The sequence below is a fragment of the Homo sapiens genome, chromosome 7, assembly GCF_000001405.40.
Source record: "Homo sapiens chromosome 7, GRCh38.p14 Primary Assembly".
In the NCBI taxonomy this organism is placed as follows: Eukaryota; Metazoa; Chordata; class Mammalia; order Primates; family Hominidae; genus Homo; species Homo sapiens.
The window spans coordinates 3,998,009-4,011,740 of NC_000007.14; the positions used below are offsets into that span (position 1 = coordinate 3,998,009).

General features: G+C 47.8%; 1 protein-coding gene across 5 annotated transcripts in view; it reads left to right on the forward strand.

Moving 5' to 3' along the window:
- Window positions 1-13,732, forward strand: part of SDK1 (sidekick cell adhesion molecule 1) — a 967,749-nt gene that overhangs the window by 696,757 nt on the left and 257,260 nt on the right. For all 5 annotated transcript variants that reach the window (NM_152744.4, XM_047420038.1, XM_047420037.1 and 2 more), the window contains one exon: window positions 12,958-13,105. In NM_152744.4, coding sequence (NP_689957.3) covers window positions 12,958-13,105 — 148 coding nt within the window. The remainder of the gene's footprint in view (window positions 1-12,957; window positions 13,106-13,732) is intronic.

The window sequence follows — 13,732 nt, forward strand, 5'->3', positions numbered from 1 at the left end:
CAGCCGCGGGTTTTGGCAGCTGCAGCTGTGCCCAAGAGGGCAGGGATCCTGCCTGCTCCCAGCCCGCCAAGAGCACAAGGAGGCTAGGATCTGCAGCCACGACTTGGGCAGGGCTCCTGCCTGCTCCATGGAATGGGAGGCCCAGGTCTGCAGCCACGGTTTGGGCATCTGCAGCGGCACCCCGGGAGCTCCCGCCCCAACTCGTAAGGGGCAGAGCTTCCACTTGTCCCCGGCTCCTATGGGCTCCTTGGAGCAAGCGGCCCCGGCAGCACCTCCCTGCAACAGCTGGCATGATGGCAGCGGCAGGCTGTCTAGAGCAGCTGGCTGCTGTCATCAAAAGGAACATGATACTGACTTGAATGAGCAGTTTTGTTTATCATGTAATACATTCCTTCCATTCCCACTTCTTAGGATTTTTTAAAATTATGTAGGAAAATGTTTTATTTCTAAGCAAATTATTCTTAAAATAACAAAATATTACATTTAGAAATACCCCTACGTTTATGTGAGAGAATTCAGAAGATCAATACGCTTCAGCTTTTGGGAATTCATGCATTCCCAAGGCCCTGCCCCCTGGACAGGTTTCAGAGCTGATGCTCTGAGGGACGTGGTCTTCATCTATGACTCTAGGTTCCCCAGCCTCAAACCTGAAATAATGTACTTTTCCTTAACTCAGAAAGAAGCCCTGTTTTCTATGAATTAGGAGTTAATCCCATATCTTCATGTTTTCTAACAATGTGCGGGAGGAACAACACCTCCGTATCTTCCGCATCGCTCGCTGTCTTCCACGTGGAGTTCCGTGCAGTCGGCGTCTCCACTGCCTAGGGAGTGCTGGCTTCTCTGGGTGAATGTGGGAGCTTCCTTTTGCAAGTGTGCCATCCATGTGTCCCTTTATGCCTTGGCTACCAGGAAGCCCAAAGCTAACCTGAGTGTCTAACTGAAGTACCTCAGTCATTCCAACTGCTTAGAACATCTCCATCTCTTTGCATTCTTCTCCTTTATGAGTTTGATTTTGTTTTTGTTTGTATGTATGTCATTGTATCACCCAATTTTATGCAGATTTTCACTTTAGAATATCCTTAAGCTCTCTTTAAAAATAGGAGATATCTCTCCCCAAACACACACACACACACGCACACACACATGTATCATGTCACCATACTTTAAGGGCAGGCTCATGTGAAATGAGCCATCGACCTTCTTTCTCTCCTTTAGTTTCTTTCTCCCCATTCCCTTGGGTACAGAGCACAGTCAGTTCACGCAAGTCTGCAAATTGCGCATCCACTCCCTCCTGAGAGCATTAGACACCAGGAGATACCAGGAAGAGCGTGAGGTCCATTTTCGAGGCAAAGAACACTCACAAAATTAAATCACAAATCCAAGAATATACGAGGGGGCGTCGGGTAGTATGTGATCGCTTGCCAGGAAAGTGGATCTGAGGATCAAGACCGTCAGGGAAGGGGGGTTCCCTGTGGGCAGGTGTGGGCATGGAGGCCCTTGGAGGTGGACCCTGAGCAGAATGTTCAAACGGTCAGTATTCGGATGCCCTGGTGCCTCGGGGCGGGGGAGGCTGGTGGCCAAGGACTCCGAGGCTTGGATGCAGGGCAGCAAAATGGGAGTTCAGGAAATTTCCCAGTGAGTGAATTCGTAAGAGCAGAAGGATCTTTGAGCAGGAGAAGCTGGAGGCTGGAGGCTGAAATGGACTGCTTTATAAAAAACCATTTTCTAACTAATAATGTATTTTTAAGTACAAAGTAATACATGCTCATTGAAGCTGGAGAAATAGTAGATGATGTATAAAGGGAGAGTTCTTATCTCCCCCCACCATGAGGGAGCACTGCTAGCAGCCTCGGGTGCATCATTCCTGGCTGAAAAGGGATGCCTGCGAGGGACAGAGAGGGACCAAATGATGCCAGACCCGAGTCTTGTACAACAAAGAGCTGCACAAAGCTGGGAGCTAGGCAAGGTGGTGTGAAAGCAAGTTTTTAGCAAGATTAACCTGGCAGTGGCCTACAGGGAGCTGTCTGTGAGGCTCAGAGAGTGAAGGAAAGCAGGAGGCTGAGGGCCTGGAGCAGGAAGGTGGTCATTCCCGAATTGCTGATGGGGTTTCCCTGGGAAGGAGGGGGCCCAAGATGGCCTAGAGCCCCAGGCCTGGACGTGGAAGTAGGAGGCCTGCTGAGGAAACCGGTCTGGGAAGAGCATCTGTGAGCTTGACTAGAGCATGCTGAGGCTGAGATGATGTTCTGGGGTTCAGGTTGCAATATCCTCCAGGCAGCTTGTCCTTCCTCCAGCATGGAACGTTCTGGTGCCCCCAGCGGCCTGATGCTTTTTTGTGCCTCTCCGCCTCTGCTTTCTGAAGCACGGCTTGGTTTTGTCAGCTGCTGGGCCAAGACTAGCTTTTGGAGCACGTTCTCTGAGTCCCAGTGCCTCTCCTGAGCCCCTCCCCAGCATCTTTGCAGGAGAGGTTCTTCCTCCACAAAGAGAATCTCTGAGCTGCACGGCTGGGTTGGTTCTTCCCCTGCCACAGGTGCCTTTTCATGTAGGGAACCCGTCAGCCGTCTCCACGCCGCTCTCCATGAAAGCTGCTCCTGGCTGTCACCGCACAATCTGTTCAACATCTCCATCCCCTGTTGCTATTATGGACTTAAAAGCTGATGGGCGTTGTGCTGTTTTGCTTGCCAAAATGGCGAAGAGACTTTGTTCTTCATGCTTCAAATATTTTAATACTGTCTTTGAAACACACCTCACACAGGCGTTTTCTAATGGCCTCGGACTTTTCGGGGAGCATTTCATATTTTAGCTCGTCTTTCTTTGGGCTTTTGCTTTTTAAGCCTCCCATGCATAGCATTTGTCCGCATTTTAATAAATGCACATCTAGGGAGACAGTACCTGTCAGAGGTGTTTATGAAGGGGGGACCATGGCTGTGTTGGGGGCCCAGAGGGGGCTGAGGTCTGCTTCTGCGTTCACTTCCTGTTAGCTTCCTGCCCTCACCAAGACGAGATGGGGGTCAGAGAGCCCAGGGTGGCTCCCACATCCTTGGTTGGTCCTCACCTTCTGGAATCCTCTGGCCCAGGCTGTCCCACAGGATGGTGTAACTTCCTGCGTGGGAGTGCCTGTGGTGACCGCACGGTGCGGAATACAGCGTGGCTCCCATAGCTTGAGCTCCAGGAGGTCAGGCCAGCTTCCATCTGGAGAGGGGCCCCTGCTCCACCCACTGCCTGCCAGCTATCTCCAGCCTGTTGCAGGGGTTTGCCACCATTAGGATTGGTCTCCCACCCAAGATCGAGTTCCCCAAGCTTCTGGATATATCCAGTCACCATTTCCAACCTCCTGCCCCTTCTCTGGAGGGAATGGCTTCTCCAGCACATAGGCCCACATCTCCCGGTGAGCATGTGTCTCCCCTTGGGTCCAGGTCAAAGTCTGGCCTCGGTGGGCCACCTTTGGTGTCTTGACCTGAGGCTCTGGAGGCCACAGTGCCCTGGATGTAAGCAGTCTACGGCCTCAAAGCCTGTTGTGGGATCATTTGGGCTGCATCCATTAGCTGGGGGTTTCATGTATTTCTAAATGTCTCAGCTCTTTAGTTCTTAACTTTTTAAGACAAAAACTTGGTGCATTTTAATCCTGAGCTTGTAGACCTTTATGGTTTCTCTAAAGACATATACAACAGAGAAAGTCTTCCCAAAGGGAAGGATATCAAAATGTATTTATACTGTCCACTCTGTGGTGTTTTGTTTTAGGTAGAAAGTATCCATCTACTTCGTACTCTTTCTTCCCCCTGTTCTATGAAGTCTTTGTCTGGCCTAAGCCTCTTTCTTTCTCAGGCGTCCTCAGTGGTTTATCCCTGTCACTCCTGTGGCCTCTGTCTTCTCTTCCAGGGTTGCCACCACGAACAGGTCTCTCTCACAATGTTCTTTTCAAATTGTGTTTGTCTTAGATGTGTTTCATGCCTGAATAGAGTCACATTCATCTGGGGGCCCTCGCAGTCCCCTGCAGGAGTACAGTCTGTTCTACAAATGTATTTACCAGCTTAAGCTTGGAATTCTACAGTGCCACTAAAAATTATGTTCCTTTTGTCACTGTCAGAGTTTTTAACTAGAATCCTGCAGAAAACACTTTATATAACCTTTGCATAACGAGTTATTATCTATGCTTCTCTCTTAGTGCCCAGATGAGCTCTGACTAGACCAAGAGAAGCTTTTTCGTAGCCCTGGCTGTGCCCGTCTCTGAGTCTGGGCTCCAGCCGGAGGGGTGAGTGGCTCAGAGCAGGAGTGGGTTCCGAAGCCTCACCCCAAGCAGTTTAACTGCATGGAGGCTGAAATTCTTTGTTGTCTGGGCTTTCAAAACTGTGTTATTTCTGTTCATGTGACGACAGTAATTTAAGGGCGCTTTAATATAGAGGAGGAAATGTCATTCCTTCCACCAAACTAATCTCAGTAACTCACTGAGCTGAACACTAAGATACAGGTCGGAGTCTCCAAAAACGTGAAAGTAATTACCCAAAGCATTGAACAACAATGAGAATGGTTTAAAAAACAAGAACTGCAGTATGGACCTATGCCTGTTTCATTTCAGTTCCTTCCCATACTCTTTATTTTCCAAAAATTTTAAGTGAACTTCTATCATTTTTTATGGTATAAATAATGTACATACACAAACATATATATACACAAATACATATACACACAAAATATACATAAAATTTACCATTTTTTACCCCTTTAAGGTGGAAAAAAATCTGGTTGGGAGATGGATATCTGGTTCTCAGGGGTGGATCCAGGTTTTGTTGTGTAATTTCGGAGCTCTTGTTAAGAAAAATAATACAAAATTGAAAGAGCCTCTGCTGGGACCCGGGGAGGGCCCGATGTGATGGGAGCCAAGAGCTCCAGGTCGCTCTGTTCATCTTTCTTCTGGGGTTGGCATGAGCTTCCTTCCCAGAGGGCACTGGGCAGTGCTGTTTGCAGCTCATGGAGCCCTAGCCCTTTGCTACTGCTCCACCCCATGGGCATCAGGCCCCCCAACACTGAGGAGTTCAGCATGAGCCATGTCTGGGACAGCTCATTCTCCAGGCTCTAGCCTCAAGGAGGAATCCCAGTGGCTTTAACCCCAGCTCTCTGACAGCCCTCACTCTTGTGTGCCTGGGCACACGCATGTGGACACATACACACAGATCTGCTCTTCTCATGCAAAACACATGACCTTCCACTGCAGGTTCCACGCAGGGCCTCCTAACCTGCCCCTCCCCTGCCTGCTCCAGACCAACCACTCATGGTAGGTCTTTCTTTTTTCTTACTAAACTTGGTGTTTTAGAGCAGTTTGGAGCTTACAGAACTGTTTCAAAGATGGACCCGCCACCCAGCTTCCCCTGTGACACTAGTATGGTGCCTTTGTCCATTCATTGAGCCCACAGTGACACCTTATTGTTCACTGCAGTCACTGCCCCCTTCCGAGCTCCGCAGTCTCTCCCTGATGACGTCTTTCCCGCTCTGTTGCAGGATCCCGTCCAGGATCTGTTTTGTAGAACGTCACTCAATCGGGATTTGTCTGATGTTCTTCTCTTAGCTAGACCAGGATTATGGGGCTTTGGGAAGAAGACCAGGGAGGTAAAGCGCCATTCTCATCACATCACATCACATCAAGGGTGAACCCTGTCAACGTGACTCATCACTGCTGATGCTTGCTAGACCTTCCAGACACGGGGAATTTAACCTGATCTGTGCCTAGGGCTAGACTCTCAGCAGCACCTGTCTTGAGTGTGCAGTGCCACCCTAAGGAATGCAGCCTGCTTATACTCAGTGTCTAGAGAGACAGTCTGTTGTGGTGGAGGGGAGCCTCTGATTAGCGTGAAGCCTCCCCACTTAGCTCCATGTTGGGGGCCCTCGCGGGCATTGCTCCAAGACAAGCTCATCTTCTCCTTCATCTCTGTGACCAAGCCCTTAACTTTGCAGCTTTAAATCCTAGGCAACAATGAGATGTGGAGTTTGCACAAGGAGCATTAATGGAGAGTGGAGAGACCCTGAGCCTTCACTCCATCCATTTCTCATGTGGAAATGAAGATCATTTTATCCCCCTCAAGGTTACTGTGAAAGTTGAACGTGGACACATACAGCCATCAGCAGTAGCTCCAAGAGTGGGTGCTTTTGTTCCACAAACACTTATTGAGCTCCTACTGTGTGTCAGGCACTCTTCTAGTTGCTGAGGACCAAACAGGGAATAAAATAGATCCCAAGGGAGCTCAGCCAGTGGATAACTCTTTTCATGGATCACCATGATTATTGTGAGCTAATACTTATATTTCAGGAGATTCAACATGCAGACTGTTGTAGCAAAAACAGTAGTAGAATTCAAATTAGAAAAATAATAAATTTGCACCTAATTTTTCCACTTAACTGTAACCTGGGGGAACTATCCTTATTTTAATGAAAGCATGCTCATTCTCATTCATATAAAAATGCAAAGTAAAGCATCAACCAAATTACATTTTTCACCCACCAATAGACAATTACAACAGTTATAAAATGCTCCATGCTGGCAATGCTATGACAAAAATAGACACTTTCTAAGAACTTTTTATTATTAGAAGTACTAAATACACACAAAAATATAGCTCCAACAACCAGTAACATTTTAACCATATTTATTTCATCTGTTCCTCACTTTCCTTTTGCTAGAGTGTTTTAAAGGAAATTCCAGAAATTATGTCAATTCATCCCTAAGTGATCAGTAAGCAGTTCAAAAAGTTGATTACACCTAACAAAATTAATAGTAGTCATTAATATCACCTGCTATTCAGTCTATATTTAATTTTCCCTAAGTGTCTAAAAAGAAAGGTCTTTTTACACTTGCATCAGGATCCAAACATGGTCCATCCATCGTACTGGTTGTTTTGTGTCTCACTGTGTCTTCATCCACAAAACCCCCTTCTACCTCCCCGCTTCCTGCTTGGGCAGAGTCCATGACAGTTGTCCTATAGAAGGCCCCAAGTCCTAGATTAGGATTCTGGTAATTCTGGTGTTTAATTGGTTCCTGCACCTTTTTTTTTTTTTTTTTTTTTTTTTGAGACGGAGTCTTGCTGTGTCACCAGGCTGTAGTGCAGTGGCTTCATCTTGGCTCACTGCAACCTCCATCTCCTGGGTTCAAGCGATTCTCCTGCCTCAGCCTCCCAAGTAGCTGGGAATACAGGTGCATGACACCACGCCTGGCTAATTTTTTGTATTTTTAGTAGAGACAGGGTTTTACCATGTTGGCCAGGATGGTCTTGATCTCTTGACGTCGTGATCCACCTGCCTCGGCCTCCCAAAGTGCTGGGATTACTGCACCTTCTTTATTGCCTGGAGACTGGATTTGAGCTGCCTTCCGTTTCCGGGTAGTTTCTTTTCTTATGTGAGTGTGTGTGTGTGTGTGTGTGTGTGTGTGTGTGTGTGTGTGTGTTAATACTTCTTGGGTATTGCAGGTACTTCCTGCTGCATCACCCAAGGAGGCACATGACACCAGCTGCCCCGCTTCTGGTGATGTTGAGATGGAGCCACTCTAGGTAGCCGCCACCTGTGAAATTCAGCAGAAGTTATTTAAACTTCCCTGAGTCTTGGTTTCCTGGAGTGAAAAAGAGGCGCAGTAAGACCTCCTCCCCAAGCGGGTTTCTGTGGCTACAGACCCGAAAGCACTTCCAGGCGGCAAACTGCCACAGAAATATTATGTATTAATAATATGATGATGCTTTTGGCAATTAAGGAAAATCTCCCTGCTGGGCTTGGTGGTTCACTCCTGTAATCTCAACACTTTGGGAGGCCAAGGCAGACAGATTGCTTGAGTCCAGGTGTTCAAGACAAGCCTGAGCCACGTGGCGAAATCCCGTCTCTACAAAAAATACAAAAATTAGCCGGGCACGGTGGCACACACCTGTGGTCCCAGCCTGGGGGATGGAATGTATTGTGGGAGGTAGGGGTGGAAAAGAACATGACTAAGGCAGGAGGATCGCTTGAACCCAGGAGCGGAGGTTGCAGTGAGCCGAGATTGCGCCACTGCACTCCAGCCTGGATGACAAAGCGGGACCCTGTCTCAAAAAAGAAAAGAAAAAAATACCTTCTTTCAAAAAACATGTTCCTCCTTCAGACACCTTTAATTGAGAAACTGATAATGCTCTTTTTTATTGGAAAAAGCTTCCAGTACATTTTCAAAGATTGGAAACCACCAGCTTTTTCAACCAACAGCTAAAGCGGGGTTGTGATTCATTCCTCGTGATTCTCGGCCTTACCACTAAGAAAACGAAAGTGTAGTGATGCCCTCTGTAGAACGGAGCCTGGCTGGGGAAGTGTAAAATCCCTCAGTCTTCTAGATCTGAGAGTCCCTGAAGGGGAGGAAAAAAGGTATTAAACGTTTATGGGATGGTTTCCTTTATCAAAAGATTCTTCTACCTCCCAGCCTCCAAGACAAGCATCCTGTGGCCCTCTTCTGTGAGGACCGGCTGGGGGCGGACCCTTTTAAAGGGATGTTGCTTATTGATTGTCAGGAACAGACTTGCTATTTAAATTTTAACAGTTCTCAGCAAGCTTGCAATTCCAGAGCTTGAGAATGAGCAAATCCTTCCCAAAACAATTTTTTTTTGTATGAATCAGGGTGCCCAGAGATGGATCAGTTCATTTGTATTAGTTTTCACTTTAATCTCTCTTCCAGCCAGACCTTTTATTTTCTAGTGAAAGAGGAAAAAGAATAAAGAAAGAATTCCTATAGCTGCAGCAGGACTGGGCAGGCCCCGAGATGCAGAGGTAATTAATAGGCCCTGTTGTCAAATCAAACCAGGCAGCAGACTCTGAACCCTGAGGCTGGGGTTCTGGACTTTCAGGAGCTGTTTACACTCGGAGTGAACAAACAGCCAGGATCAGGCAGGGCCAGGCTGGCGGGATGGGGCCGAGGGCGGGAAAGCGGCGTCTCCAGGCTTGCTCTGCCTCTCCCGCAGTCTGATTAATCGCCTCAGTCACCTGGTTTCAACAGTTGTCCTCTTGACTGTCTCTTTCTGAAACGATGTTTGTTCACTGTGCCTGACGGAGCAGGTGAATGGCTGACTGCTAGACACTGTGATGTCTGAAGGAAGAAAGGGATGGACGAAGAGCTTTACTGAGTCCAGTATCAGTCAAGCTTCCTGAGGGAAAAGATGGCGTTCCTGAATGAGAGCAATCAAGGAGGAAGTTTTAGAAGGGGAATGTTTGCAGAGGTGCGGGTGGAGGGGAACCACTGTTACCGGGGGCTGGTAGCCTCAGAGCGGGTTTCACTCTAAGGTTCAAGAGCCCGAGGCAGTTGCAGAACCCCAGAAGGAGAGATTATGTAGGGTGGCTGCTTGGAAAAGAGGGGGACCCAGGTAGCCCCAGGCAGCCTCCCAGTGAGGAAGAAAGAGCCTTACATTTGCTCCCCTCATCTACAGGAAGCCTCGGGGCAGGAGTCCCGAGGACAGAGCTGGATAGGGAGGGCGGAGCTTGGATCTAGGGAGAGCAAGCTGTCCAGCACCCTGGGCCAAGCTTACAGCTAGATGCTTTCAATGTATGTGATTTCATACTCGGGGAGTCTTGGGGGTTATATATTATCACCCCATCTTTTCATTATTTCCTTTAATTTGTTTTTTGAGACAGAGTCTTGCTCTGTCGCCCAGGCTGGAGTCCAGTGGCGCGGTCTCGACTCCCTACAACCTCCGCCTCCCGGGTTTCAGCAATTCTCTGTCTCAGCCTCCTGAGTAGCTGCGATTACAGGCACCTGCCACCACGCCCGGCTAATTTTTTTGTATTTTTAGTAGAGGCGGGGTTTCACCGTCTTGGCCAGGCTGGTCTTGAACTCCTGACCTCGTGATCCACCTGCCTCAGCCTCCAAAAGTGCAGGGATTACAGGCATTGTTTTAATCTTTAATGGTAGTGAAACACACATAAAAAATCCATCATGTTCACCATTTGTAAGTGCACGGCTCAGTGGCATTAAACACATTCACACTGTTCTGCCACCGTCACCACCATCCTTCTCTAGAGCTCTTTTCATGTTGCAAAACTTCTGCACCACTAAACAGTCGCTCCCCGTTGCCCTTTCCCCTGCTCCTCCTACTTTCTGTCTCTGTGAATTTGTTCTAGATGTCTCATGCAAGTGGAATCATACAGTATTTGTCTTTTTGTGACTTATTTCATGTAGTATACTGTCCTCAAGGTTCATCCATGTTCCGCCATGTGTCCTAATTTCCTTCCTTTAAGAAGCTGAATAGTAGACATTGTATGGACAGATCGTATTTGTTTACCCATTCATCCATCGGTGGGCAGTTGGGTTTGTTAGGAATAACGCTCAAAATCCTAAGGAAAGTGAACACACGAACAAAAGATTCTTAGCAAAGCAATTTTACTTCTGCGCAGAGGGGTGCCTCCTTGGCCAGTCGCCATGACAGCACACCTGAACAAAGGGGCACGAGAGCCTTTATTCCTGACGCAAGTCCTGCCCCTGTACCCTTTCCCCATTGGCCGGGGTCGGGTCATACAATCTAAACTAATCCCGGTTGGCTGAACCTTTGATTTTTTTTAGATAAGGTGGGCACGTAAAAGAAAGCGAAGAGGAAAGGGGAAGGGGTGTTCTGTAATGAACTAGAAAGTTAGTCCTCTTTCCAAATAAAGGAAGGAATGTGAGCTGCTACTGATAATGCCTGGTACTGTGGCATGCCTGGGCATCTAACAAAGGCAAAAAGGAAAAAAAGGGAAAGGGCAGCAGGGGGAAGGGTACTATAAATTAAAGAATAAAAGATTGATTGGGTTCTTTGAAGAGAAACCTCATCATATCCCTCAGGTTGCTTCTACCTTTTGGCTACTGTGAATAAAGCTGCTTTGAACCCAGGTATGCACATATCTCTTCGAACCCCTCCTTTCTGTTCCTTTGAGTGTATACTGAGAAGCAGAATTGCTGGATTCTATGGTAATTCTGTCTTAATTTTTTGAAGAGCCACCATACTGTTGTCTGTAGCGGCTATACCATTTTATATTCAGAACAACCGCGAAATGGGGCGGAATTTCTTCACATCCTTCCCAACACCTGTTATTTTCTGTTTGTGTGTATGTGTTTTCTTTTCATAATAGCCACCCTAGTGGGTATTAGATGCAATATCATTGTGGTTCTGTTTTGTCCACTGTTTTCACGGAAGTTCAAACAAAACTGAACACCCTTAAGTGGGAGAGCTCGTAGTCAGCTGTGGTCTCCATGCTTCTTTCTTCTACATACCAGTTCTCTTCAGAATGAGAACGGTATTTCCATGGAAGCTGGACTTGGCACGAAGGGGCCCTGCCTTCTACCAACCGAGTCTGGTTGCCCTGATACTGGGAATGGCCTTTCGTCTTCTGCATTGACAAATGGCTGTTTTCTGTAAGGGAGACTGCTTAGCAAACCAGATCACCATGAGCTGCATGATACAAGTGGAAGGGTTTTAGGCTCCCAGAGTAAAAAGGGAAGTTGCTGTGAGTTCTTCTGTAGGTAACTGGGAATGCGCACATTTTGTTTTTAAAGGAGACACACAGAGAGGGGGATCCTCATCAGCTGCCCATTATCCATGTCACTGGAAATCAAAAGCCAAGAACGCTGAAATGCCCAGCTGGTGGCGAAGACTGCGTTCCCAGAAAGCCATTTTTGGAAGCAGCTTGATTTGAAATAATTAAAAAGATCCCATCTTCATCGCCAACTGGCTTCATGCTTCAGAGCAGCTTAACTTTGTGTTAAGGAATCCAGTGAGCAGATTCTGAATTAGTGATAGACACCTCTGTGTGAGGCAACAGAAGTTTCCTTTGAGAGTCTCATTTTCATTTTGGAGCAATTTATGGCCACTGCTTGGTGATTGGTAAGGAGCTGGAGTGCATTTCCAATGAGCTCGCAGGCGCAGACTTACGAATCCCCGCGGTTGGGGCTGCAGGTTTTTGGAGAAGCGGCTGGGATTTTATGTGTGGATGCTGACACGCAGCTGGTACTGTCTGCAGGCTCTGCCTAGCCCAACACTATGGTGGAAAGCATGTGCCACCTCTTTCTGACCATCTCTAATGTGGGTGAAAGGGACCTTAGCGCCACTTCAGGTCAGCGAGACAGCTCGATTTCCAGAAGAATTTCCCCCACCCAGGTTTTACTTCGCTAGTAACTTGAAAATTCAGTTCAGGCATCATCACAATTCAGAATGGGAACCGACAGCGGATGCTGGAAGTCACTGCCAAGACTTTGTTCATTCCAGGGCATCAGTCTACAAAATGACTGGGCTGAAAAGCCTGTTTAAACTCTGCAAAAAATCCACGCAAGGGTGTAGGATCTCCAGCAGAACCTTCGGAAGCCTTGCCGGCAAGAGTGCATTTGGCTGGCAGAGTCCCTCTTGCACACCTGCTGGAAAGCTGGGTGGGAAGATATTCTAAGCTCGCTGTGAATTTCATTACGCCTCTCTCCAGCCAAAGCCACTCAAGGGTGTGGTGGTGTAATGGGCCTGCCACGCAGATGGGCTGCGAAATACACAGCCCATCTGTCTTTATCATGCTCATTTCCTCTTTTATTAAAATGTTAATGAATATAGTTTTTATTTATCATTCAGTGACATGTGCAGCATCCTTTTCTGGGAGACAAATCTGCAATCTGCCTAACCATGTGAGCCGACGGAGAACTTTCTCCCCTTACATACTGAACACAGGAATTAGGGACGTTTTGGTTCCTTTTAAACCGCCGTATGCAGGTTGCACAAAAAAATCCTTTTGCTCATTGATGGCGGCACCGGGGAAGTTGCCTTTCTGGCTTGTAAGTTACTAGCCACATGGCCAGAGCCTCAGTTTCCACACCTGCTAAATGGGATAAGCTTTCCTTCTCCTAGAGCTGTCCTGCTAAGCAAATGAGATGTTCCCTGAGAAAGCCTTTGCATTCACCTCTTATTATTCAGACATGATAAGCCTGTGGGCTTGAATTCGTTTTCTTCATTCTTTCAGACTCTCCATGGAAGGTGCATCTGTCAAACGTTGGCCCTGAGATGACAGGCGTCACCGTGAGTGGCCTGACTCCGGCTCGTACCTATCAATTCCGGGTGTGCGCGGTGAATGAAGTGGGCAGGGGCCAGTACAGCGCCGAGACAAGCAGGTGCGTGAATCCCGCCCCAGGTGGGGGTGTGGAACAGCCGGGGGCCTGAATGCCAAAGAGAAGCATCACATTATGTGGTGGAATTGATCACAGCAACCCGCTGGCTTCCCTCAGGGAGACGGGACAAACCGTGAGCAGAAAAGCCTGTCGCAAAGAGGGAAAGACAGGCCCACGCAGACTTAGCTGGGCCTTCCTTCATTGCTTTGAGGCAGGTTCCTTGGATTTTTCCTGTGGCGATCTGGCTGTGCCTACATAAATCGCTCCTGACAGCACAGCCCTCTGTGTACAGGAAATTCAGAGCTCACATGTTTTCCGTGTTCTTTGTCCACCCCACTGCCGGGTGGACGCTGATGCCACAGTCTTAGCAAGTCAACACCTAGCATGCTGTTAAGGGAAGCTGTCTCTGCAGAGGCGTCGCATTCCTGAGCGGTCTTCACGCTCTCCCATCCCTGCGAGGGCCACCTCTGAAAAATCTCATTCGGAGGTGACATGGGAAAATGGCTTCATCACATTTCAGCACACCTTCCCCAACCAACCTGAGCTTTCAGTGGGCTTGACTTGTAGAACAGCTGAGCTGTAAATGCCTTTCTTTTTTTTTCTTCAAAATGTGGGAGTTTGATATGAGAA